Source organism: Homo sapiens, chromosome 15, assembly GCF_000001405.40.
Source record: "Homo sapiens chromosome 15, GRCh38.p14 Primary Assembly".
Lineage (NCBI taxonomy): Eukaryota > Metazoa > Chordata > Mammalia > Primates > Hominidae > Homo > Homo sapiens.
The window spans coordinates 74918149-74946148 of NC_000015.10; the positions used below are offsets into that span (position 1 = coordinate 74918149).

The 28000-nt window shown below is 45.8% G+C and overlaps 1 protein-coding gene across 1 annotated transcript, besides 1 other annotated feature; it reads right to left on the bottom strand.

Annotated features, from left to right (window-relative positions):
• Positions 1-1642: 1642 nt before the first annotated feature.
• On the bottom strand, positions 1643-19925 carry COX5A (cytochrome c oxidase subunit 5A). The gene is made up of 5 exons (NM_004255.4): positions 19767-19925; positions 10968-11084; positions 8618-8739; positions 5500-5622; positions 1643-2294 (listed from the first exon to the last, which is right to left on the bottom strand). Exons 1-4 carry the CDS (start codon positions 19864-19866, stop codon positions 5509-5511), a joined length of 453 nt encoding a protein of 150 aa, NP_004246.2. The 5' UTR covers positions 19867-19925; the 3' UTR covers positions 1643-2294; positions 5500-5508.
• Positions 19619-20178: a silencer, noted in NCBI's record as "silent region_6661". NCBI's record gives its function as "represses an Ori minimal core promoter by ATAC-STARR-seq in GM12878 lymphoblastoid cells {active_cell/tissue: GM12878}" and the evidence as "EXISTENCE:reporter gene assay evidence [ECO:0000049][PMID:35858748]".

A 28000-nucleotide genomic window follows, 5' to 3' on the forward strand; every position in this document is an offset into this window, starting at 1 on the left:
CTGCTTGTAAAAGAAAAGCCAATGCCTCAACCCTCACCATCTTTCAAATCACTCTCATTGCCTAAGATCACTCCTTCGCCTCCTGCAGTTTGGCCTCAACCGCCCACAAAAACATGGCCAAGAAATTAAAATTTCTTGAGCATCTGGCTGGGCGCGGTGGCTCACGCCTGTAATCCCAACACTTTGGGAGGCTGAGGCAGGCAGATCACCTGAGAGGTCAGGAGTTCGAGACCAGCCTGGCCAACATGGTGAAACCCCATCTCTACTAAAATTACAAAAATTAGCAGGGCATGGTGGTGCATGCCTGTAATCCCAGCTACTTGGGAGACTGAGGCACAAGAATTGCTTGAACCCGGGAGGGGGAGGTTGTAGTGAGCCGAAATTGGGCCATTGCACTCCAACCTGGGCAACAGAGTGAGACTCTGTCTTAAAAAAAAAAAAAATTTTGCTGAGCATCTGTATATGCTTACTTGCTTCACTTAGTGTCATTTAATCCTGACAAAAATGGCTCTTAAAAGTCCTCCATTCAGCATTTCACAGGTATACACATGTAAAAGCTCAAGCTACATACTTTAAGATTTGCACACTTGGCTGCATGTAAGTTATACCTTACTAAAGTTGCTCTCTTCTTTCCCTCTAAATGTACCTGCTTCCAGTTTCGGCCTTCAACGTAGTTCACATCTGCCTCCAAACAGCCTCCTTGGAAGTCTTACTTTTTGCTGTTTCAAACCTTAAATTCTTTTCTCTAGTCTCAGTCTCTTTTCAGAGCTCTTGTCGTAACTAGCCCACGGATGCCTGAAATTTAACAGATCCAGAATCAAATGTAGCAATTTCTCCACTCTGCACCAAGGTCCTCCTTTTGCTGACTCCTGTATGAATGGCATCACCACTCAAATCTCAAAAATGGCCTTCCCAGAGTTCTCATTTCCCCTCATCGAATTACTTATTAACTACACCTCAATAATGTGATTCTCAAAATTCATCCCTTTCCATTCCTATGGCTACTACCCTAATTCAAAATCCCCATTAAGTTATAACCACACTGTGCCTAACTTTTATCCCTACCTCCAGTGTCTCCAGGTTCCAATATTCACTGTCTCTCCTGTTCACTGCTTTACCTTCAGTGCCTGGCATGTTTGTTAGACAGTAGGTGTTCGACAAATTTTTGTAGCATGAAGACCATCACAGCATTTATCTCACCCTCATAGATAACTGTGACCCTATGTTCCTTCCTCTGCTCCTCCCATGACATGAGGAACGAGACCATTTTTATGGCAGTGAGGAGGAAAGCGCTGGCCCACAGTGGGATCAAACCTAAGAACCATGGCCTACCAACTATACATTAAAAATATGTGCCATTTTAGTTTCACATTTCTACTTCCTAAAAACTGGGCAGGGGGTTTTCTGGTAGCGGATCAGCCTTTATAAAAGGTCTCACTAGTATTAGAACTTCACCAAAACTGATTTTAATAACAATCCCTTACATGGCTCTAGGAGAGAAGACATCTAAATTTCAAGCTAATATTAATTCAATTTCCCTAATACTGCAGTCTGGACTGGCTATACTAGAAGTCACCCAGATCTAGAACCTCTTTATCCAGCAGCTGGTTCTAGTATTATGGCGCTTCTAAGACAAGCAGGATTTGTTTTACTCAGCTGTTTAATCAGAATGCCTCCAAATTTACAAAGCAAATGTTTTAATGTCCAAGGCTAATACACCACTGCAAGGGAAGAACAGGTAGGAAAGGAAAGGGGCACTAAGAGAGGAACACACCGTAAGAGGGCTTGGCTACTGCATAGCACATCCTCAAGACTATCTCAGTGACCACTTTTAAACATCATTAAAACCTGTTTTGGAAAGGTACACAATTTGATCTATCCCCACAGACAACCAGTCCCCTAAGCCTAGGGTGTCAACAAGAAAATTCTATATAAATGACTTCTAGCCTTCAGCTAATTTACAAGCTAGGGCACCCAAACATATTAATGAAGCTGATTTTCATGTCAGATGGTTTCCAGAGAATTAACACAGTTCTCTCAGCATGTAAGAGGGCAGCAAAACCATGAAACCAATACAGCACTTAATTTTCTGCTTATTAATGCAAACACATGAAACAAATACCTAATTTCAGTTCAAACTCATTTCCCTTTTATTAAAGTCCAAGTTACCATTACATGGCTTGGTACTCAATAAAGGAAAACTTGTTCAAATAAGGTAATATGTTATCATCAGTATTTCCAGGTAACTGTTCACACTCAAGTAGCAATGTCAATAAATCCTTGGGGAAGCCCATCTGTAAGAGAAAACACAAAGAATTAGCCAGGAAAGAATAAAGAAAAAGTAGAAATCTTTTAAAAATAACCCTTAGTGCTACAACCAGGGAAATCACTGTCTCTCTGTACCCTTTACTGCTCTTACTTAATCCTGCCTACTGTCAACCCACAAGCGACTAGCTTTGTGGCTTTTTTGTTGTTTATACACTGGTACTTCCTTCCCAATCAGAAAAGTGTCCAGTAGCTGCCATTTAACAAAAGAAATTTTTTTTGGGCCGGACACGGTGACTCATGCCTGTAACGCTAGCCCTTTGGAAAGCCGAGGCGAATGGATTGCCTGAGCATAGAAGTTCAAGACCACCCTGGGCAACACGGTGAAACCCCGTCTCCACTAAAATACAAAAAATTAGCCTGGTGTGGTGGCCCATGCCTGCAGTCCCAGCTACTCGGGAGGCTAAGGCACGAGAATCTCTTCAACCGGGAGGCGGAGGTTGGAGTGGGCCGAGATCGCTTCATTGCACTTCAGCATGGATGACAGAGCAAGACTCTGTCTCCCAACAAAAAAAAGAAAAAAAGAAAAAAAGTTAGTATAGCTAGAATATATCCTACATAAAAAAGATCTTCTGGACCCCTTGGAATAATACTTGATAAAATGAAAACTAAAACCATCTTTTAGGAGTTCATTATAGAATATGAACCACAGGGCTGGGCGCGGTGGCTCACGCCTGTAATCCCAGCACTTTGGGAGGCCGAGGCAGGCAGATCGCGAAGTCAGGAGATTTGAGACCATCCTGGCTAACACGGTGAAACCCCGTCTCTACTAAAAATACAAAAAATTAGCCGGGCATGGTGGCGGGTGCCTGTAGTCCCAGCTACTCGGGAGGCTGAGGCAGAAGAATGGCGTGAACCTGGAAAACGGAGCTTGCAGTGAGCCGAGATCATGCCACTGCACTCCAGCCTGGGTGACAGAGCCAGACTCCGTCTCAAAAAAAAAAAAAAAAAAAGAAAAAGAATATCAATCACAGGGCCAGACGCGGTGGCTCACACCTGTAAGCCCAGCACTTTGGGAGGCTGAGGCGGGTGGATCACCTGAGGTCAGGAGTTCAAGACCAGCCTGGCCAACATGGCGAAACCCGGTCTCTACTAAAAATACAAAAATGAACCGGGCATGGTGGTGGGCACTTGTAATCCCAGCTACTAGGGAGGCTGAGGCATGAGAATTGTTTGAACCCAACAGGCAGAGGTTACAGTGAGCAGAGGTCGTGCCACTGTACTCCAGCCTGGGCGACAGAGTGAGACTCCGTCTCAAAACAACAACAAAAAACAAACAAGAGCTTCAAAAGTATAACTAGGAAAATTTCCATTCTGAACAACTAGTTTTCTTTAAGTACTCACAGAAGTCAAAACCATTGCATATATTATAAAGATGAGCTACTTCAGGGAGGTTGTGCTGGTGAGGGGGTGGACAAAGATAAAATGAAAAGACCATTGCTTTTGGCTCACACCTGAAACCCAAATAATTTGGAAGGCCAAGGTGGAAGGATCACTTGAGCCCAGGAGTTCAAGAACAGCCTGGGCAACATAGTGAGACTCTGTCTCTATAACAAAATTAAAAATAAATAAATTAAACAAAAACAAACAAAAAGACCACTCCGTTAAAGCAAGCTTTAAAACGAGATCCCACCTGGGCGTGGTGGCTCATGCCTGTAATCCCAGCACTTTGGGAGGCTGAGGCGGGTGGATCACCTGAAATCAGGAGTTCAAGACCAGCCTGGCCAACATGGTGAAACCGTCTCTACTAAAAATACAAAAATTAGCCGGGCATGGTGGTGCATGCCTGTAATCTCAGCTACTTAGGAGGCTGAGGTACAAGAATCGGCTTGAACCCGGGAGGCGGAAGTTCAGTGAGCCGAGATCATGCCATTGCACTCCAGCCTAGGTGACAGAGTGAGACTCCGTCTCAAAAAAAAAAAAAAAAATCTTAAAAGTAGATTACAAAGTTTTCAGCATTTTCTGTTCAGTTTCTCAACAGGAAGACTGAATATAAAAATTCCTTGAATTCTGAATATTTTTCTTTCTATGTATGTATGTATTTAATTAACTAAAGGAGACAGGGTCTCACTATGTTGCTCAAGCCAGTCTCAAACTCCTGATACTCCTGAACTCAAGCAATCCTTCCACCTTAGCCTCCCAAAGTGCTGAGCTTACAGGCATGAGCCATTGCTGCCAGCCAAGTTGAGTCTTTTTTTTTTTTTTTTTTTGAGACAGAGTCTCACTCTGTCACCCAGGCTGGAGTACAGTGACACAGTCTCGGCTCACTGCAACCTCTGCCTCCTGGGTTCAAGTGATTCTCCCGCCTCAGCCTCCCGAGTAGCTGGGACTACAGGCACATGCCACCACACCCAGCTAATTTTTGTATTTTTAGTAGAGACAAGGTTTCACCATGCTGGTCTCGAACTCCTGACCTTGTGATCCACCCGCCTCGGCCTCCCAAAGTCCTGGGATTACAGGCGTGAGCCACTGTGCCCAGCCCAAATAGAAATACTTTAAACACACCAAAGCAAATGTGGCAACAATAAAAGTATCTGAAAATCTGGATATGTGTACACAGACTCACTATATTATCATCTATGCTACTGTTTATGCCTAGAATATTGTATGAAGATTTTTCTTTAATTAAGGTGGCTTTTATTTGTCTTTCTACCAGTAAGAAAATAATGATGCCGGGCGCGGTGGCTCAAGCCTGTAATCCCAGCACTTTGGGAGGCCAAGGCAGGTGGATCATGAGGTCAGGGGTTTGAGACCAGCCTGGCCGACAGGATGAAATCCCGTCTTTACTAAAAATACAAAAATTAGCCAGTTGTGGTGGCATGTGGCCTGTAGTCCCAGCTACTTGGGAGGCTGAGGCTTGAATCCAGGATGCGGAGGCTGCAGCGAGCCTAGATTGCACCACTGCACTCCAGCCTGGGCAACAGAATAAGACTCCATCTCAAAAAAAAAAAGACGAAAGAAAGAAAAGAAGGAAAGAAAGAAAATAATGACAACAACTAGAAATCATTTCAGTTCTTTAAATTTACCATTACTGGTATTCTCAAAATCTCTTCATGCTCACGGCCATTACCTCTAACAAGAACACTGAAAGGTCTTACTATAGCACACTGAAATGTCATCCACCCACACCTCTCTGGATTGTTTTCCTGCCTTCTTCAGTGGTTTGTCGCTTACCCATGCGGTTTACACTTTGTCAAGGCCCAGTTCCTCCGGAGTGGAGATTCCCAGTTCATTTAAAGTTGGTCTAAGTTCCTGGATGACATAGGGGTAGATTTCCTTATGAGGTCCTGCTTTGTCCTGATGGCAAAGAGAATATTCACATTTAACTCTCTCAAAAGCCATGTCTATTAATTCATGAAATGAACTTAAAAATGCCTTTAATTACTTATGCAGAGGCAGGTAGGACAGAATAATACAGGTGATCAGCTGGGCATGGTGGCTCACACCTGTAATCCCAGCACTTTGGGAGGCTGAGGCGGGCGGATCACTTGAGGTCAGGAGTTCGAGACCAGCCTGGACAACATGGTGAAATCCCGTCTCTACTAAAAATACAAAAATCAGCCAGGTGTAGTGGCACATGCCTGTAATCTCAGCTACTCGGGAGGCTGAGGCAGGAGAATCGGCTTGAACCCGGGAAGCGGAGGTTGCAGTGAGCCAAGATCACGCCACTGCACTCCAGCCTGGGTGACAGAACAAGATTCTATCTCAAAAAACGAAACAAAACAAAACAAAACAGGTCATCTACTTTTAAGTTAACACATTTGTTCGGTAAGTAGGGCAACTTGCTGGGTGCCGTGGCTCATGCCTGTAATTCCAGCACTTTGGGAGGCCAAGGCGGGTGGATCACAAGGTCAGGAGTTCGAGACCATCCTGACCAACATGGTGAAACCCCGTCTCTACTAAAAATACAAAAATTTGCTGGGTGTGGTGGCACGCCCCTGTAATCCCAGCTACTCGGGAATGCTTGAACTAGGGAGGCGGAGGTTGCAGTGAGCTGAGATCATGACACTACACTCCAGCCTAGGGGACAGAGCGAGACTCTGTCTCAAAAAAATAATAATAATTAAATAAAAATAAAGAGGGCAACTTATATATGTACTGTTCAAGGTAGGCTTTTGAAATACCTTGAGAATAACTGCAATTGGACTAAATCCAGAACATCTTAAAGTCTAGAATTACTGGAAAAGAAGGTAGTGATGACAGAATTTTGTGAAGGCAATTAGACATGCCCAGCAGGCAACACGAATAATTAAGTTAACGGGAAAAGTTTTTTCATTTGCCTCCAATTTGAGACCTTAACTGAATTAACTACCAGTGCTGAATGGATTGATAGCCTACAGAACCCTTAATTATCTTACCCATTATAGATAAAGTAATGTCACACTTTTGCTGTTAACGGACCTTAAGTTTCTTTCTTACAGACCACAGTATCTTTTCATGGAGAGCTGTACTTTGAGAATACATATGTCCAGGGCTGGAGACTTTTCACTGTAATATATAGTTACACCTGTGCTGTCACAAGGTTCCTTAGGAACGAATAAGAAGTCAAAAGAACTAAGAAAGTGCCGGCCGGGCGTGGTGGCTCACGCCTGTAATCCCAGCACTTTGGGAGGCTGAGGCGGGCGGATCAACTGAGGTCAGGAGTTTGAGATCAGCCTGACCAACATGGAGAAACCCCGTCTCTTAAAATACAAAATTAGCCTGTAATCCCAGCTACTCGGGAGGCTGAGGCAGAAGAATTGCTTGAACCCAGGAGACCTCGGAGGTTGCAGTGAGCTGAGATCACGCAATGATTGCACTCCAGCTTGGGCGACAGAGTGAGACTCTGTCTCGAAAAAATAAATAAACTCAGAAATTATGACCAAATAAGAAGGAGGAAAATTAGTATATATCCTCCTATGTTTTCATATAATGTATATATATATTTTTTGAGATGGAGTTTCTCTCTCTTGTTGCCCAGGCTGGAGTGCAATGGTGCCATCTTGGCTCACTGTAACCTCTGCCTCCCGGGTTCAAGCAATTCCCCTGCCTCAGCCTCCCGACTAGCTGGGATTACAGGCATGCACCCCCACGCCCGGCTAATTTTTTATTTTCAGTAGAGATGGGGTTTCTCCATCTTGGTCAGGCTGGTCTCGAACTCTTGACCTCAGGTGATCCACCTGCCTCAGTCTCCCAAAGTGCTGGGATTACAGGCGTGAGCCACCGTGCCCAGCCGACACAAATATGTTTAAAGTCAAACACATTTCTACAGTATCAACAGTTGTGTAGTATAACCAGTTCTGGGAAGCTCCCTCTTAAGAATTCCTAACATTTCGTATGACAAATAGCAAGAAGATGAATACACTTTGTAGTTAAATCTTTATATATCCTTTATTATTTCCTTGATAAATTCCTTTCTTTTTTTTTTTAGAGACGGAGTTTCTCTCTTGTTGCCCAGGCTGGAGTGCAATGGTGCGATCTCAGCTCACTGCTACCTCCGCCTCCCGGGTTCAAGCAATTCTCCTGCCTGGGCCTCCCAAGTAGCTGGGATTACAGGCATGTGCCACCATGCCCAGCTAATTTTTTTTTTTTTTTTTTTTTTTTTGAGACAGAGTCTTGCTCTGTCACCCAGGCTGGAGTGCAGTGGCGCTGTCTTGGCTCACTGCAAGCTTTGCCTCCCGGGTTCACGCCATTCTCCCGCCTCAGCCTCCTGAGTAGCTGGGACTACAGGCGCCTGCCACCACACCCGGCTAATTTTTTTGTATTTTTAGTAGAGACAGGGTTTCACCGTGTTAGCCAGGATGGTTTCGATCTCCTGACCTCGTGATCCGCCCGCCTCGGCCTCCCAAAGAGCTGGGATTACAGGCGTGAGCCACCGCGCCTGGCCTAATTTTTATATTTTTAGTAGAGACAGGGTTTCACCATGTTGGCCAGGCTGGTCTCAAACTCCTGACATTGCATGATCCACCCGCCTTAGCCTCCTAAAGTGCTGGGATTACAGGCATGAGCCATCACACACGGCCAAGATAAATTCTTAAAAAAGAAAGAAAAAAAAAAAAGAGAGAAAAAAGAAAAAAGATAAATTCTTAAATGGAATTGCTGAACAAAAGTGTATCATGTACAATTTGTAAGGCCTTGAATAAATGCTGCCAAAGTAGCCTCTAGAAAGATTTTAACTGCAATGTACATTCCTTCTAGTTATATAAGGACTCATTTTAGGCATTTTAACAAATTCAAAAATACAGAATATTCTGATACCTCAGCAATAGCCCACTCATTTACAGAACAATTTTAGCATTATTATTTCACTGACCTTAACAACCTCTAGGATACGAACTGTACTAGCAAAATCATTTAACCGTCTGCATGCCCGCAAAGCAGCATCAATGATTTTGGGCTCTGGAACCATATCATAGGTAACAAGTGTGTTTATCCCTGCAAAATTAAAAAGAAGGGCCATGTCAACCTCGAAGAGCCTCACTTAAACTATGAGTTATTTATATTTTTACTGAATCACTGATGTATGATCTTATCTGTCTGGGTCTCCATTCTCTTACCTATAAAATGAGAGAAACCTACCTTTAACAAATTCTAGATAATAAGATCACAGTGGATCTCCCTTAGTGAATCAGTGGAAAGAAAGAACTATGCAACAGCACGCAGATTGAAGGAAAAAATCCTGAGTTTTTTTTTTCCCCTTTGAGAACAAGAGGGTCATTTTCAACTCCTAACTTTTTTTTTGGAGATGGAGTCTTGCTCTGTCACCCAGGCTGGAGTACAGTGGTGCCACCTCAGCTTACTGCAACCGCTGCCACCTGGGTTCAAGTGATTCTCCTGCCTCAGCCTACCAAGTAGCTGGGATTACAGGCGGGTGCCACCAAGCCCAGCTAATTTTAGTATTTTTAGTAGAGACGGGGTTTCAGCATCTTGGCCTGGCTGGCCTTGAACTCCTGACCTCGTGATCCACCTGCCTCGGCCTCCCAAAGTGCTGGGATTACAGGCATGAGCCACCACATCCGGCCCTCCTATCTTTAACTCTTAGTACAATGAACACATTTTGGATGCTTTAAAAGAGATTCAAGGCTGGGCTCAGGTGGATCACCTGAGGTCAGGGGTTCAAGACCAGCCTGGTCAACATGGAGAAACCCTGTCTCTATTAAAGATACAAAATTGGCCGGGCGTGGTGGCACATGCCTGTAATTCCAGCTACTCTCGAGGCTGAGGCAGGAGAATCACTTGAACCCAGGTGGTGGAGGTTGCAGTGAGCTGAGATCGCGCCATTGCACTCTAGCCTGGGCAATAAGAGAGAAACTCCATCTCAAACAAAACAAAACAAACAAACAAAAAAACCAAAATAAAAGAGATTCAACTGGAAAACAGCCTAAAAACAGCCAGAGAAATGCGTAGAGTTAATGAAGCCTAAATGAGGACATTAAGGAGATATTATAGAGAAACATTAGTACACAGACTCATAAACATTCAACCAGAAAATGATTGGGCATGATTACTTTCAGATCTGCACAAAATGACACATAATAAAATTTAAGATTCTCTTAATGGGAATACATAATTGTTCTTTTTATTACTTCTACTCCAGATTGTTCAGTAAGAATTCTATTGGTTGTAGCAAAAGGGAATCATTACATTTCTGCAGAGAAGTTTAAAGCACTTAGGTTTCTTGCTTTTATTACTTTAAAATATTTAAACAAAGGATACCAGTGAATACGATAGTCATTGAGATTGAATTTTTGGTATGAGATAAATTACCCTACACCTAATTCTATTTTTTCATGTTAAGTGTGCATCTGCAAATTTAGGAAAGACAAGTTCTAACTTACTTAGATACTTATTCATGGCAAAACAATGCAAAAATAACAAAAAACCCAAACCATCACCCAAAGGGGAAGGGAACCAAATGACTGCTTTGTGTAAATTCTTTTTTTTTTTTCTGAGACAGAGTCTCACTCTGTTGCCCAGGCTGGAGTGCAGTGGCGCGATCTCGGCTCACTGCAAGCTCTGCCTCCCGGGTTCACGCCATTCTCCTGCCTCAGCCTCCCGAGTAGCTGTGACTACAGGCGCCCGCCACCACGTCCGGCTAATTTTTTTGTATTTTTAGTAGAGACGGGGTTTCACCATGTTAGCCAGAATGGTCTTGATCTCCTGACCTCGTGATCCGCCCACCCTGGCCTCCTAAAGTGCTGGGATTACAGGCGTGAGCCACCGCGCCCGTGCTATGTAAATTGTTTGAAATGTACAAAACTGTTACCTTTTGCTCATCTAGCCTTATTGCTATAGCAGTGGTTTTCAATTAAGGGTGACTTCATCCCTCAGGAGACACTGGGTAATGCCTAGAAACATTTTTGGTTGTCATGATACGAATGTGTGCATACTGGCTCCTAGCAGGTAGAGGCCAAAGGTGATGCTAAACACCCTACAGTGTAAAGGACAGTCCCCTACAACAAAGAATTATCTGGCCCAAAATGTCAATAGTGCCTGCCTTAAAATCCTGCTTTATAGGTAGCCATAAACTTTCCTAACTGCAAGTTGCATGAAGTAACCAGTTTAAACAACGCATGTTTTCGAAACAGTTGCTCTCAATAAAGGAGCAGAAGCAGTTCATATTTACACACCAAAATAGACAAATATGTTTATGTTCCAATTACCTTTACGCAATTCCCAGGCATCTATATCTGGCTTGTTGAAGTATGTTACCCAGCGAGCATCAAACTCCTCATCTGTCTCCTGTGACCCATGGGAATAGCAGCGAACTGACTGGATAGCTATAATGTGAAAGAACCATAACTTCAATGTACACAAATAGTACTTGATATATTTTGTTCAATGCATTAAATTTTGAGTTGACTATATATGTTGTGGCAGCAAAAATATTGAACAGGTCAAATGAAATACATCGTATACATTGATACAGAAAGATATATTTTAAATTAAGCAAATAAAATCAAGTAGAACAAAAAGTATTACATAGGCATGTTTATACTTTTCTCCCTAATGTATAATACTCGCTTGAAATTATTAACAGTGGTTCCCTCTGATTTTAAATTAACAGTGATTATCATGGGACGTAAAAACTACTTTATATACTTCCATATTGTTTGAATTTTTACACATAACCAGAGTATTAATTCCTAAGTAAAAATGTCCCAGGTGGGCATAGTGGGGCACACACCTGTAGTGCCAGCTACTCAGAGGCTGAGGCAGGAAGATTACCCGAGCCCAGGAGTTCAAGGTCGTAGGGTGCTAACAATATGACAGAACCTGATAAGATAGCCATTGCATTCCAGCCTGGGCAACACAGCGACACCCCACTTCTAAAAACTAAGAATAGGCCAGGCGCAGTGGCTCACGCCTGTAATCCCAGCACTTTGGGAGGCCGAGGCAGGCGGATCACGAGGTCAGGAGATCAAGACCATCCTGGCTAACACGGTGAAACCCCGTCTCTACTAAAAATACAAAAAATTAGCCAGGTGTGGTGGCGGGCGGCTGTAGTCCCAGCTACTCGGGAGGCTGAGGCAGGAGAATGGCGTGAACCTGGACGGCGGAGGTTGCAGTGAGCTGAGATCACACCACTGCACTCCAGCCTGGGCGACAGAGCAAGACTCCAACTCAAAAAACAAACAAACAAACAAAAACAAAAACAAAAACAAAAACTAAAAAACTAAGACTAGGCCGGGCGCAGTGGCTCACGCCTGTAATCCCAGCACTTTGGGAGGCTGAGGCGGGTGGATCAAGAGGTCAAGAGATCAAGGCCATCCTGGCCAACATGGTGAAACCCCATCTCTACTAAAAGTATAAAAATTAGCTGGGTGTGGTGGCGCGTGCCTGTAGTCCCAGCAACTCGGGAGGATGAAGCAGGGGAATTGCTTGAACCCAGGAGGCGGAGGTTGCAGTGAGCCAAGATTGTGCCACTGCACTCCAGCCTGGCGACAGAGCGAGACTCCGCCTCAAAAAAAAAAAAAAAGACAATAAACAACAACAACAAAAAAAACCAAAAAAGCAACAAAAAAAAAAAACTAAGAGCAATACTAATGTCCATTCAAGTTCTTTTTTTTGAGACAGGCTCTCGCTCTGTTGTTGCCTAGGCTGGAGTGTAGTGGCGCAATCACAGCTCACTGCAGCCTCAAATTCTTTGGGCTCAAGCATTCCTTCCTCCCTTGGCTCCCAAAGTGCTGGGATTACAGGTGTGAGCCACCAGCCCTGGCACCATTCAAGTTCTTAAATAAACTTATATACTTCATTCACACATTAAAAAAAAAAAAATCTCGGGCCGGGCTTGGTGGCTCACGCCTGTAATCCCAGCACTTTGGGAGGCCGAGATGGGCAGATCACCAGGTCAGGATATCGAAACCATCCTGGCTAACACGGTGAAACCCCGTCTCTACTAAAAATACAAAAAATTAGCCAGGTGTGGTGGCGGGCGCCTGTGGTCCCACCTAGTTGGGAGGCTGAGGCAGGAGAATGGCGTGAACCCAGGAGGCGGAGCTTGCAGTGAGCAGAGATCACGCCACTGCACTCCAGCCTGGGCAACAGAGCGAGACTCTGTCTCAAAAAAAAAAAAAAAAAAAAAAAAAAAAAATTCTCATGTTATTATATTCCAAAATAAATTACACATCCTGACAAATTACACATACAAATTGCTTTATCAAACTACAGCCCCTTCCCAAAATATTCTGATAAATCCCCTAAGGGAACGTACACTCTAATCTACACCTAATGCAAAATAATACTGTTTTACTAGGAATATTTTGGGCTGGGCGCAGTGGCTCACACCTGTAATGCCAGCACTTTGGGAGGCTGAGACTGGTGGATCACCTGAGTTCAGGAGTTTGTGACCAGCCTGATCAACATTGTGAAACTCCGTCTCTACTAAAAATACAAAAATTAGCTGGGCGTGATGACGGGCGCCTGTAATCTCAGCTACGCGAGAGACTGAGGCAGGAGAATCACTCGAACCCAGGAGGCGGAGGTTGAGGTGAGGTGAGATGATGCCATTGTACTCCAGCCTGGGCGACACAGCAAGACTCTGTCTCAAAGAAAAAAAGAAATGATGTTTACATAGAGTACTGTATGAAAAGCATTTCCATTTTTTTTTTTTTTTTTTGAGATCGAGTCTCACTCTGTCACCCAGGCTGAAATGCAGTGGAACAATCTCAGCTCACTGCAACCTCTGCCTCCTGGATTCAAGTGATTCTCCTGCCTCAGCCTTCTGAGTAGCTGAGACTACAGGCGAGCGCCACTAAGCTTGGCTAAGTTTTGTATTTTGAGTAGAGACGGGATTTCACCACATTGCCCAGGCTGGTCTCGAACTCCTGACCTCCAGTGATCTGCCCACCTCAGCCTCCCAAAGTGCTGGGATTACAGACGCGAGCCACTGCACCCAGCCCCATTTTTTCTTTCTTCTTGTCAAATGGACACTGAATTGAGTTTGGAAATCTGAATTCCTTCTGAACAGCCTCTGGAACAGGTAGGGGGATAGGCGGAGGCAGAAAATTTTATCTTTGGGTATTGAATGCAGCACAACCTAGCACTCAGATACCTCTAGGCTCTTCGCTCTCTCTGTTTGACCCTGGAAAATTAACTTAAGTTTATTTTCCTTATCTGTAAAATGGGGACGCTACCCCCCTTAGCAGATTATGAAGATTAAATGTGAAAACAGGTAGGTTAACACTATGCACTGGTAAGTATTAAACAAATGGTAGCTATAAACTAACCCTTATCTAAAAACGTCTTAGTTGTCTATTTATAGAAATCATAACTTAAAGAAATGAAACCTATCTCAAATCACATTTCCTACTACCTGTATTAGATAAGTGTGGTGTAACTTCCAGTTGTTTAAGGCTTAACATATTTTTATTTATTTACTTTTAGAGATGGGGGTCTTGATATGTTGCCCAGGGTGGTCTTAAACTCCTAGCCTCAAGCAATCCTACCACTCCCAAAATACTAGAATTACAGGTGTGAGCCACCATGCCCAGCCTTAACATACATATATATATATTTTTAAAAACTTCACCCAGAAACCTCTCAACATTGTTGTTCTAAGAACACTGAAATTTAAACATTAGTAATATCCTATATATCTTTAATGCAGTAACTGGCAGGAGGAAGAGTAGCAAAAAAACGAAGCAGAAAAGATCTTCCCAGAGACCTAAATTACCTACATAATCCAAGCCCAGAATGAAGTGGAACATGTACATAAATGGACTAGAAGTGAACACGTTTTAATTTCTTTTTTTTTTTTTTTGAGACAGAGTCTCACCCTGTCGCCCAGGCTGGAGTGCAATGGCACGATTTCGGCTCACTGCAACCTCCACCTCCCGGGTTCAAGTGATTCTCCTGCCTTAGCCTCCCAAGTAGCTGGGATTACAGGCATGCGCCACCATGTCAGGCTAATTTTTTGTATCTTTAGTAGACACAAAGTTTCACCATGTTAGTCAGGCTGGTCTCGAACTCTTGACCTCATGATCTGCCTGCCTCGGCCTCCCAAAGTGCTGGGATAACAGGCATGAGCCACGGTGCCCAGCCTTAATTTCTACAACAAGAAAAAAATGGATCTCTACACCTAAATATGTCTGGTAAGTATGAACATTTAATCAAAACTACGTGGATATTTAATAAGTCTTACAAGACTAATATTCAAATTTAATATATCAGAAAACAAGGCCAGGTGCGGTGGCTCACACCTGTAATCCCAGCACTTTGGGAGGCTGAGGCAGGCAGATCACTTGAGGCCAGGAGTTCAAGACCAGCCTGGCCAACATGGTGAAACCCTGTCTCTACTAAAATACAAAAAATTAGCCAGGCGTGGTGGCACACCCCTGTAGTCCCAGCTACTTGGAATGCTGAAGGAGGAGAATAGCTTGAACCCAGGGAGGTTGCAGTGAGCCAAGATCGTGCCACTGCATTCCAGCCTGGGCGACAGAGCAAGACTCCGTCTCAAAAAAAAAAATATCTATCTATCTATCTATCTATCTATCTATCTATCTATCTATCTATGTAAAAACATAGATTAGAACAACCATCTAATGCACTATTATCAAGAACTTAGGGCCAGATGCAGTGGCACTAGCCTCGGAGACAGAGTGAGACCCTGTCTCAAAAAAGAAAAAATTATAAGCCACCTCTTCAAAAACTAAAGCTAGCCTTAACTGAATACTGAAAGTGCAAGTATAAAATGATACAATCACTTTGGAAGACGGTTTAAGCAGTTTCTTATCAAGTTAAACACAAACCTACCATATAACACAGTAATTCCACTCCTAAGTATTTACCCAATGAAAGGTCTATGTACTCCTTCCCCAGAGGTAATTACCTGTCCCATCCACAACAGTGCTTCATGATAAGCAATTCGTTTTGTTCACTGCTGGGCATGGATTTGACTACATGAGTGCTAGGCTTTGTTTCCTAACTGTGAATAAGATGACCACCAACAGCAAATCCAAGTCAAGGAGATCACCACCTTCAAGGATTTGATCATATGTCTTCTGGAAGCCAAATTACAAACTGGTTGTATTCCAAAAAGTCTTTTATAAAACAGAACTAGAACTTTGAGAGGCCAAGGCAGGATCGCTTGATGCCAGGACTGAGAGACCAGCTTGGGCAACAAAGACAGACCTCCATTCTCCACAAAAAACTTAAAAAATTAGCGGGGTTTGGTGGTCCCAGCTACTCAGGAGGCTGAGGCGGGAGGATCCCTTGAGCCCAGGGCAACAAGGCTGCAGTGAGCTATGACTGCGCCACTGCACTCTAGCCTAGGTGATAGAGCAACACTCTATATCAAACAAATTAAAATAAATAAAAATTTAAAAACCCATACATCCCTTTCTGAAGGGCTAAAACAGACTCTCCCCACGTGATTTAAATTTTTTTTTTTTTTTTGAGATGGAGTCTCACTCTGTCGCCCAGGCGGGAGTGCAGTGGCGCAATCTCAGCTCACTGCAAGCTCCGCCTCCCAGGTTCACGCCATTCTCCTATCTCAGCCTTCCCAGCAGCTGGGACTACAGGCACTCGCCACCACGCCCGGCTAATTTTTTTGTATTTTTAGTAGAGACGGGGTTTCACCGCGTTAGCCAGGATGGTCTCGATCTCCTGACATTGTGATCCGCCCGCCTCAGCCTACCAAAGTGCTGGGATTACAGGCGTGAGCCACCATGCCCGGCCATGATTTAAATTATATTGTTAAATCCAATAATGGGTAAAGCAGGATCTATTCTATTAGCTATGGACACATCCCCCACATGCTTAACTTTTTTTAGGTAAACTCTACTAGCATTCTCTGCCCCACACACCCCACCCCACTTAAGAACAGGATCTCCACCTAGTATTGAAGCTTGAAAGGCAAATTATTTTGGAAAACAATTACTCAGAGCTTTTACGTAACCTGAAAGTCCCAAAGTAAGAAAAAAGAAGCAGCTGTGAAAAATGAGGACATTTTTAGGGCTTCATCCTAAAAAGCTATTTCTAACACTGCTTTTTGGCATTCAGTTAAGCACTCCATTTAAAAACAAAAAAGGCTAACATATATAGAAAAATAAAAGGGCTCATTGATCCTTTGGGTTTAAATTTAGTTAAATCGGATAGTTTTCCATTTAATAAATAATCAACCCTGACAGGCCCAAAGAATGAACACTTTGGTGGTGGTAACTGTAGGAATGAGGGCACATTAACGAGTTACTGAGGCTGGGTGCAGTGGCTCTCGCTTGTAATCCCAGCACTTTGGGAGGCTGAGGTGGAAGGATGGCTTGAGCCCAGGAGGTTAAGGCTGCAGTGAGCTGTGCCAACTGCACTGCAGCCTGCATGACAGAGCGAGACCCTGTCTCAAAAACAAAAACAAAAACAAAACAAAACCACAACAACAGAAGAAGAAAAAGAAAAATTTGGCTGGGCATGGTGGCTCACACCTGTAATCCCAGCACTTTGGAAGGTGGGAGGAGGGAGGCACTCCTGAGCCCAGGAGTCCCCAGACCAGCCTGTTTCTACGGAAAATAAAACTGGTGGCGCACCCTTGTGGTCCCAGCTACTTGGAAGGTGGAGGCAGGAGGATCAGTTGAGTCCCAGGAGGTCAAGGCTGCAGTGAGCTGTGATGGTGCCACTGCACTCCAGCCTAGGCAACACAGTGAGACTATCACCAAAAAAAAAAAATAAATAAATAAATAAATAAAAAATTTTTTTTTTGAGATGGCATGATTTCGGCTCACTGCAAACCTCTGCCTCCCGGGTTCAAGCAATTCTAATGCCTCAGCCTCCCAAGAAGCTGGGACCACGTGTGCGTGCCACCACACCCGGCTAATTTTTGTATTTTTAGTAGATACTGGGTTTCGCCATGTTCAGGCTGGTCTGGAACTTCTGATCTCAGGTAATCTACCCGCCACAACCTCCCAAAGTGCTGGGATTACAGGCGTGAGCCACCGTGTCCGGCTGAAAAATGTAAATTGTACTGTTACTTTAGCAAAACACAAAATCTAAACAAACATCAGGATGGCCCAAACATAACTATAAGAAACAAAAATGGTTCCACCATTAAAAAGGAGTCAGTTTCGGCCAGGTGTGGTGTCTCACGCCTGTAATCCCAGCACTTTGGGAGGCTGAGGCAGACGGATCACCTGACCTCACGAGCTCGAAACCAGCATGGCCAACATGGTGAAACCCCATCTCTACTAAAAACACAAAAAGTAGCCGGGCATGGTGGCAGGTGCCTGTAACCCCAGCTACTCCGGAGGCTGAGGCAGGAGAATCGCTTGAGCCAAGACCGTGCTATTGCACTCCAGCCTGGGCAACAAGAACGAAACTCTGTCTCAAGAAAAAACAAAACAAAACAAAACAAAACAAAAACAAACAAACAAACAAAAAAAAACAAGGAGTCAGTTTCCCAAGATGGACTTTGGTTTCCTTTTCTATAAAATAAAATGGCTTCCACGATCTCTAAAGTACACTCTAGGTTGGCTGCAGTGGCTCATGCCTATAATCCCAAACTTTGGGAGGCTGAGGTGGGAGGATCACCTGAGCCCAGGAGTTCAAGCCCAGCCTGGGCAACATAGGGACACTCCGTCTCTAATTTAAAAATAAATAAATAAACAAAAATAAAGTACCCTCCAGCCTTATGGTTCTACGACAAATGATAAAAGTCTAAAATGAATGAAGCAAAACATATTCTTTTTTTTTTTTTTTTTTTTTTGAGACGGAGTCTCGCTCTGTCGGCCAGGCTGGAGTGCAATGGCGCGATTTCGGCTCACTGCAACCTCCGCCTCTCAGGTTCAAGCGATTCTTGTGCTTCAGCCTCCCGAGTAGCTGGGATTACAGGCGCCCACCACCACACCCAGCTAAATTTTTTGTATTTTTAGTACAGACAGGGTTTCACCATGTTGGCCAGGCTGGTCTTGAACTCCTGACCTCAGGTGATCCGCCCGCCTCGGCCTACCAAAGTGCTGGGATTACAGGCATGAGCCACCGCGCCCGGCTGAGTTCTTTTTTTAATTTTTAACTTCAGCATACCCTGAAACGAGTTTCTGAGTTCTTATGTTTAAATACGCATGCATAGTTGCCAGTGATGCAGGTTCAAAAATAAAATATAATATGCATGCATAGAAGCTAAATTTCACGGACCAAGATCGAAGTGCAATTACTGTAATTATTCTATGGTGGTGGACTCAAAACCTCCCAGCACACATATAAAGGGAAGGAAAATAGACAAAAATCAGAAGCACGTCTCATACTCCAGCAATCAGGCTTCTATTACAAAGGGGAAAAAACACGAAGCGTTCCTATGCTTGTAAAACCCAGTATTCCTGTGTCTGTGACATTCAGTTTTCAAAAGAGTGATATTTTTATCATAAGCCCTATCAAAACTCTGGCTATCTTCCGGAGATCAGGAAACAACCACACACTTCCATCTATTTTAAACGTGGAAGAATTAGAACGTGGCACAGCAGACCCTAAAAATGATGGAAAAGGCTGTGAAGGTGACACACTAATCGCTAACCGAGAAATGCCTGATTGAAAAGTATAATCGTGTGTCCCATACGGAAGTATATTGTGTCCTCGGACCCCAAGCGGCGTGCCCGGAGGCTCAATGTCACCTTCGCCGAGGCGCTGCAGGCCGGCGGCGGCCACTCTCGGTCAGGTGGCCGCAGGGTCGGCGCTGGGGCAGGGTCATGGCCCGGGAACCGAAGGGGAGCGCTGCGTCCCCTCCTCGGCGCCCACAGCAGGTCCACATCTGACCTGTCCGCGGTGGCACAGCCAGGAAGTTGCGCGGGGGGAGGCCCCGGGGGCGCGCTTTCAGGTCCTCCACTACTCGAGGCGGCGGGCAGGGCGGCCCGCGGTCACCGGGTTCAGTAACCAGGGTAGGGCAAGGGCTAGGCCGGGGAGAGCCCGCCCCGGAGTGGCAGCGGGGACCCAGGTCACCGCAAGGACACGAGGGCGCGGGCAGTGGCAAGCAGGGGCCTTACCCACGGCGGGGCCGGGGGTCCGGGCGGAGTGCAGGAGGCCTCGAGGGTCGGCCCGGGTGGTTGCGGCCACAGCGCAGCGGCGGAGAGCGGCGCCCAGCATGACGGCGATGGCGGCGCGCGGGCTGAGGACAGAGAGAAGCCGGTGTAAGCTCGCGGGTTGCTCCGGAGCGGGCGGGGGCCGGACAGGCTCACAGCGGGCGGAGCACGTAGGCCCGCCCACTGCGACTCTGGCGCGTGGGCGGGAGGAGCCACCGCGCGGCCGGCGGCGGCGGGGGCTACGGCGGCGCGCTGAGGACAAACTGTTAGCCTCGCGTCCCGCCTTGTCTCTGGTCAGGTGACGTGCAGCTGCCATCCTGTAAGTAGGAATGGAGGCGAGGGAGGAGCAACCGACCGTGATCTTGTTCGAGTCAGGCCCAGGAGGGCACTTAATCACCTCAAAATAGGAATGACAGCAATAACAACAAACTATAATAAAAAATACGTACTTTGCGCCCGGGCGCTGTGGCTCATGCCTGTAATCCCAGCACTTTTGGGAGGCCGAGGCGGGCGGATCACCTGCGGTCGGGAGTTCAAGACCAGCCTGGGCAACATGGAGGAACCCCCGTCTCTACTAAAAATACAAAATTAGCCAGGCGTGGTGGCGCAACGCATGCCCGCAATCCCAGCTACTCGGGAGGCTGAGGCAGGAGAATCGCTTGAACCCAGGAGGAGGAGGTTGCGGTGAGCCGAGATGGTGCCATTGCACTCCAGCCTGGGCAACAAGAGCGAAACTCCGTCTCAAAAAAACCAAACAAAACAAAAACCTACTTTGCTTAGCCCCGCCTTCTCATTGTGGCATAAAATAAAACAGCGAATGGGGGAAAGAATGCCGCTGGACGCGGTTGCTCACGCCTGTAATCCTAGCACTTTGGGAGCCCAAGGCGGGCGGATCACCTGAGGTCGGGAGTTCGAGACCAGCCTGACCAACATGGAGAAACCCCTGTCTCTACTAAAAATGCAAAATTAGCCAGGTGTGGTGGCGCATGCCTGTAATCCCAGCTATTTGGGAGGCTGAGGCAGGAGAATTGCTGGAACCCAGGAGGCAGAGGTTGCAGTGAGTTGAGATCGCACCATTGCACTCCAGCCTGGGCAACAAGATCAAAACTCCATCTCAAAAAAAAAAAAGGCCTATGCGTAAGGGATTTTATTAGTACATATTCTTATATCACAAACCAGCTTGCATAAAAAATGAGTTAAACTACTTCATTTCACAGATTAGGAAAGAGGCTCAGAAATTAGGTTGCTGCTGGCAGTCAAGGATCTTTTCGCCACATCCCCAGTTCTGAGGACTCTCACCTGAATGTTTCCCATCTCCTACAGGAGGGCTCCTGAATCCACGATGGCTCTGAAATAGGGTTGATCAAGTTCCACAGTTGTTGCATCTTATCTCACTAGCTACATCCTAACTTTGAGCCCCTGGGCAGTCAAGGACACCTCTCCCAGGCCTGAAGTATCTGGATGCTGCCCAGAGTTAATGAGACATTGTATTCTGTCTTGCTGTCTCCCATTCTCTATCCCTGGGCACACTGAGGAAAGAAAAGGTGGCCATTCATGTGCCACTTCCTCACTTCAGGCCGACTCTCCAGGGCCTCAGCATCTGCCCTTCTCTTTTTCCTCCCTAGCAGTGTGGCTTCAGTGGGTAGGAACCTGGCGGGGAAAAGGATTTTTAAAATGTTTTCAAAGCACCTGCCCTCACCGTTTCCCACCAACCTAGTGCTGGGGCTTAGAAAACAATACCACAAAGTGAAGGCCTATGAAGCAGTTTCTCTCTGACCTTCTGCCCTCTTGTCTCTTGCCCCTTACTCTCCCTCCAGGCATGCCACAGAAACTAGAATCCCTCCTCCCCAAGAGGGGGTCTAGAAAGTAGAACCCCTTTGTCCCAAAGCCAGCCATAAAGCCTAAAAATATTGCTCTAACCTTTCTCTTTGCCTTTCTATGTAACAGCTGGCCATAAAGAAATTAAGGCCGAGCACGGTGGTTCACGCCTGTAATCCTAGCACTTTGAGCCGCCAAGGCCAGGAGATCACTTGAGGTCAGGAGTTTGAGACCAGCCTGGCCAACATGGTGAAACCCCATCTCTATTAAAATTACTAACATTAGCCAGAAATCACTTGAACCCAGGAGGTGGAGGTTGCGGTGAGGCGAGATCACACCACTGCACTCCAGCCTGGGTGACAGAGCTAGACTCCGTCTCAAAAATAAAATTTTTTAAAAAAAAGGAGAAAAGGAAACATGGCCAGGTATGGTGGCTCATGCCTGTAATCCCAGCACTTTGGGAGGCTGAGGTGGGAAGATCACCTGAGGTCGGGAGTTCGAGACCATCCTGGCCAACATGGTGAAACCCCGTCTCTACGAAAAATACAAAAATTAGCTGGGTGTGGTGGCGCACGCTACTCTGGAGCCTGAGGCAGGAGAATCACTTGGGCCCGCGAGGTGGAGGTTGCAGTGAGCCGAGATCGCACAACTGTACTCCAGCCTGGGTGACAGAGTGCGACTCCGTCTCAAAAAAAGAAAAAAAGAAGTTAAGGCTGGGCGCGATGGCTCATGCCTATAATCCCAGCAATTTGGGAGGCTGAGGTGGGGGGATCACCTGAGGTCTGGAGTTTGAGACCAGCTTGACCAACGTGAAGAAACCCCGTCTCTACTGAAAATACAAAATTAGCCGGGCATGGTGGTGCATGCCTGCAATCCCAGCTACTCAGGAAGCTGAAACAGTAGAATTGCTTGAACCTGGGAGGTGGAGGTTGCAGTGGACCGAGATCTTGCCACTGCACTCCAACTTGGGCAACAAGAGTGAAACTCTATCTCCAAAAAAAAGAAAGAAAAGACACTCGTTCCAGTAGTAGGGAGGACAGGGAGGAAGAAATGCTACAAAAGAGAGGCCAGAAGGATTTGAACAGACAGGCTTTGCTGGGTTTTCCCACTCAATCCATTTCCGTTAGCTTGGACCCTTTTTGTCCAATCACAATTCTACATATGCTTTATTGAACCTAAGCATAAAGGACGATTTTCCTTGTATCTATGGGTCTTCAGTCTGAAGCCTCCCATGTCACATAAAACTATGATCAAGTAAACTTGTTATGGTTTTTTCTTTTTAACCTGTCTTTTGTTATGGGAGTGTCAGCCATGACCCTTATGATGGTGAGGAAAAGGATCACCCCTTTCTGCCCCTACACTGGCCAAAGGGCAACGGGGAAACCTTTGACCTCTCTGCAGTTCAATTAGTGTTCATCAAATCTCCAAGGCTGGAAGCTTAAGATGAGGTCAGGGTAAGAAAGTAAGAAAAGTAAGAAAAGCAAGTAAGAAAGCACTGGGCTATATTGCTTGAATCCCAGCTGGTCTCCCTGCTGTCAGAATCCCTCCACTTTGCCTACAGTCACTTAGATTGGCTGCTGAAGTGTTTTTTTTTCTTTTTAAAATACAATTATGACTATAATTTACAATGTGCCACTACATGCCACAAACTATTATCCCATTTATGCCTCATAACAACCTTGTGAGATAAGTTTTTATCCCTATTTTCAAAATTTATTTTATTTTATTATTATTCTTTTTTGAGGTGGAGTCTCGCTCCGTCGCTCAGGCTGGAGTGCAGTGGTGTGATCCTGGCTTACTGCAACCTCCGCCTGCCAGGTTCAAGTGATTCTCCTGCGTCAGCCTCCCGAGTAGCTGGGACTACAGGTGCTCGCCACCATGCCCGTCTAATTTTTGTATTTTTGGTAGAGACGCTGTTTCACCATGTTGGCCAGGCTGGTCTTGAACTCCTGACCTCAGGTGATCCTCTCACCTTGGCCTCCCAAAATGTTGGGATTACAGGCATGAACCACTATGCCCGGCCTAGCCCTGATTTATTGATAAAGGAATAGACTTAAAGGATACTTGCCAAAAATCATACAGCTAACAAATAGTGGTAGTTAGGTTTTAGTCCCCACTTGTCTGACTCCAGAAATTGTTCTTTCCCTACCACTGCTGAAGGTAGGTTTTGCTTGTCTTTCAGTCAGTTCTGAATTCTCTGCTACCTTGAGAGCAGTCCACAGCCCTAATTGCCTGCATTCATTTTTTGTTGCTGCCTAACAATTTATCAGGTATAGCATAACTGAATTCTCTACTGGTTATCACAAGACTGAAATCAAGATCACGGCTAGGTTAGACATCTCATCTGGAGCTCAGAGGCCTCTTCTAAGGTCATTCAGGTTGTTGGCAGAATTGATTTCATTGCAGTGGTGGGACAAGGTCCTCATTTCTTCTCGGTAGCTGTCAGCCAAGGACACTCTCAACTCCTAGAGAGTGCCCTGATGTCCTCTCCACTTGGCTCTCTCCATAGGCCCTTCTTACAATCCTGGAGCTTATTTATTCCAAGCAGCAGGAAAGTGTCTCTCTGACACTTTACCTGCTTTTAAAGACTTCATCTCAAGGTGGGCGGATCACTTGAGGTCAGGAGTTCGAGACCAACCTGGCCAACATGGTGAAACCCCATCTCTACTAAAAATACAAAAATTAGCAGGGCGTGGTGGTGGGCACCTGTAATCTCAGCTACTTGGGAGGCTGAGGCAGGAGAATCGCTTGAACCCGGGAGGCAGAGGTTGCAGTGAGCCAAGATCTCACCATTGCACTCCAGCCAGGGGTACAGAAGACTCAGTCAAAAGAAAAAAAAAGACCTCACCTGATTAGGTCAAGCCCACCAGGGTAACTTTTTGATTCACTCAAAGTAGACTGACTAGTAAACTAGTCTTGGGAATGATATCTAAAGAAATTCACAGATTCTGCCCCCTACTCAAGAGGAGGAGATTGTACAAGGGCATGTAAACAGGGGGCATGAATCCTGGGGCTATCTTTGAATTCAGCCTACCATATCACTAAGGCACGGGGGCCCTTGCTTGTTTCCTAGTTGGCCCCCAGATGTGTCCACAGGTTGAAGCCCATCCCATTGCTTCTGGAGGGTACCCCTTCCCTGATGGGCTCAGAGCAGACATCCTGGTTCTTACTCAAGGTCTTCAGGGTCTTTTATCTCTTCCTGCCATTTCCTACCTTGAAATCCTTCGCTGTCCCTCTGGAGAAGCCACACCTGGACTTTTGCTTCTTCTTCTTTTTTTAAAACACAACAGCTGGACTTCTGATGGCTCAGAAATGTCATCGTCACCAGTGGATCAGCCTATCAGCTTTCTGCTACAGCTCAGGGCCTTCATTCTGGAAAAGTTGTGATGAGGCAGTCCCTCTGATGTGTGTGGGGGATGGAATGACATTACTGAGGAGTTTGTGAGGATAAAGACACTGTTCCACCATGTGAATTTCTAGTAACGGTTAAGTTCACGTGCAAGAAAAGCTCTTTTTTTTGTTTTTTCTTCTCTTTTCTTTTTCTTTTCTTTTTTATGTTTTTGAGATAGGGTCATGCTCTGTCACCCAGGCTACAGTGCAGTGACAGAATTATGGCTCACTGCAGCTTTGACCTCCTAGGCTAAAGCAATCTTCCCCCCTCAGCCTCCCAAGTAGCTGGGACTACAGGTACGCACTACCATTCCCGGCTAATTTTTTTAACATTTTTGTTGAGATAGGGTCTTGTTATGTTGCCCAGGCTGGTCTCAAACTCCTAGCTTCAAGCAATCCTCCTGCCTTGGTCCCTCAAATTGCCGGGATTATAGGCATGAGCCACCGCACCAGGCTAGAAAAGCTCTTATTTTCTCTGGTGGGAATTAAGCATGTGCTCAGGAAAAAGAGGGGGAAAAAAATGAAAGAATCCTACCATTTTAAGACTGAAAGTGGGGGCCGGGTGCAGTGGCTCAAGCCTGTAATCCCGGCACTTTGGGAGGCCGAGCCGGGCGGATCACGAGGTCAGGAGATCGAGACCATCCTGGCTAACACAGTGAAACCCCATCTCTACTAAAAATACAAAAAATTAGCCGGGTGTGGTGGCAGGCGCCTGTAGTCCCAGCTACTTGGGAGGCTGAGGCATGAGAATGGCGTGAACCCGGCAGGCGGAGCTTGCAGTGAGCCGAGATAGCGCCACTGCACTCCAGCCTGGGCGACAGAGTGAGACTCTGTCTCAAAAAAAAAAAAGACTGAAAGTGGCCCCCGAGGCCATTAGTCTACTGAGTCTACATGGTTTCCATTTCCTCAGGCCCCTACTTGAGGAGCATCTCCAGTGAACAGGATCTCAATACTAGACTGCTTCGAAAACAGAGCCTAATGAAAAAAGTCACCCAAGAGAATGACACCCTCACCGCTATTAAACTACAGTTCTGCCTTATGCCCTTGGGCAAATTATTCCAATTCCCTGAACCACTGTTTCCTTGTCTAAAAAATGGGAATAGCCGGGTGTGGCAGCTCACGCCTGTAATCCCAGCACTTTGGGAGGCCGAGGCAGGAGGATCACCTGAGGTTGGGAGTTCAAGACCAGCCTAACCAACATGGAGAACCCTGTCTCTACTAAGAATACAAAATCCGCCTCGCGGCTTCAAGCGATTCTCCTACCTCAGTCTCCCAAGTATGCCAGCATGCCTGTAATTCCAGCTACTGGGGAGGCTGAGGCAGGCGAATCGCTTGAATCTGAGAGGTGGAGGTTGTGGTGAGCCAAGATTGCATCATTGCACTCCAGCCTGGGCAACAACAACAACAAAAAATTAGCCAGGCATGGTGGCACGCGCCTTTAGTCCCAGCTACTTGGGAGGCTGAGACAGGAGAATCGCTTGAACCTGGGAGGCAGAGGTTGCAGTGAGCCGAGATCACGCCACTGCACTTCAGCGTAGGCGACAGAGCAAGACTCCATCTCCAAAAAAACAAAAAACAAAACAAATAAAAAATGGGATAATAATGGAACCTACCTAATAGGTTAATAGATTGTTGGGACGATTACCTCAGAAAATGCACATAAAACACTATGTCCTGGCTGGTATACAGTAACAGCTCAATAAATGCTTACTGTTGCTCTCTAAAAGAGCATTTTCTTGTTGTAAAATTGTAGCGGGGCAGGGCAAGTTGTGAGATGGGGATGTTTTAGTCTGTTTTGTGTTGCTATAACAGAATACCTGAGACTCGGTAATTTATTTATTTATTTATTTATTGAGACAGGCTCACCCAGGCTGGAGTGCAGTGGTGAGATCTTGGCTCACTGCAGCCTTGACCTCCTGCGCTCAAGCAATCCTCCCATCTCAGCCTCCTGAGTAGCTAGGACCACAGGCATGTGCCACCTCACCCAGCTAATTTTTGTACAGGTAATTTATAATGACCAGAAATGTATTGGCTTATATTTCTGGAGGCTGAGAAGTCCAATATCAAAGTGCTGGCATCTTGTGAGGGCCTTCTTGCTGCATCATCCCATGGCAGAAGGCATCACATGGTGGAAGGGCAGAGAATGCAAGAGGGGGTGAACCCACTCCCTTGATGAACAAATCATTCTTTTTTTCCCCCCACAGGCTGGAGTGCAATGACTCGACCTCGGTTCACCACAACCCCCACCTCCTGGGTTCAAGTAATTCTCCTGCCTCAGCCTCCCAAGTAGCTGGGATTACAGGCATCTGCCACCATGACCAGCTAATTTTGTATTTGTAGCAGACACGGTGTTTCTCTATGTTGGCCAGGCTCGTCTCAAACTCCTGACCTCAGGTGATCCGCCCACCTTGGCCTCCCAAAGTGCTGGGATTACAGGCATGAGCCACCGCGTCTGGCCAAGAACTCATTCTTGCAATAATGGCACTGGTCCATTCATGAGGGTAGAGCCCTCATGACCTAAAAACCTCTTAAGGGTTCCACCTCCCAACACCAACACAATGACAATTAAATTTCGAGATTAGTTTGATTTTTTGTTTCTTTGTCTTGTTTTTTTTAGAGACAGGGTCTCACTCTGTTGCCCAGGCTGGAGAGTAGTGACATGACCATAGGTCACTGCAGCTTCGAACTCCTGGGCTTAAGTGATCCTCCTGCCTCAGCCTCCTAAGTAGCTGGGACTACAGGTGAACACTACTACACCTGGACAATTTTTTGGACAGGGTCTTGCTATGTTGCCAGGCCGACCTTGGACTTCTGGGCTCAAGCAATCCTCCCACCTCAGTCTCCCAAAGTGCTGGGATTATGGACCACATCCAGCCCAGTTGTTTCTTGTGAGTGGCTTATAAATAGACATCTTTTTTCCCTGTTTTCACATGGTCTTTCGTCTGTGTGAACACGTCTGTATCCTATATCCTAATGCCTTTTTTTTTCTT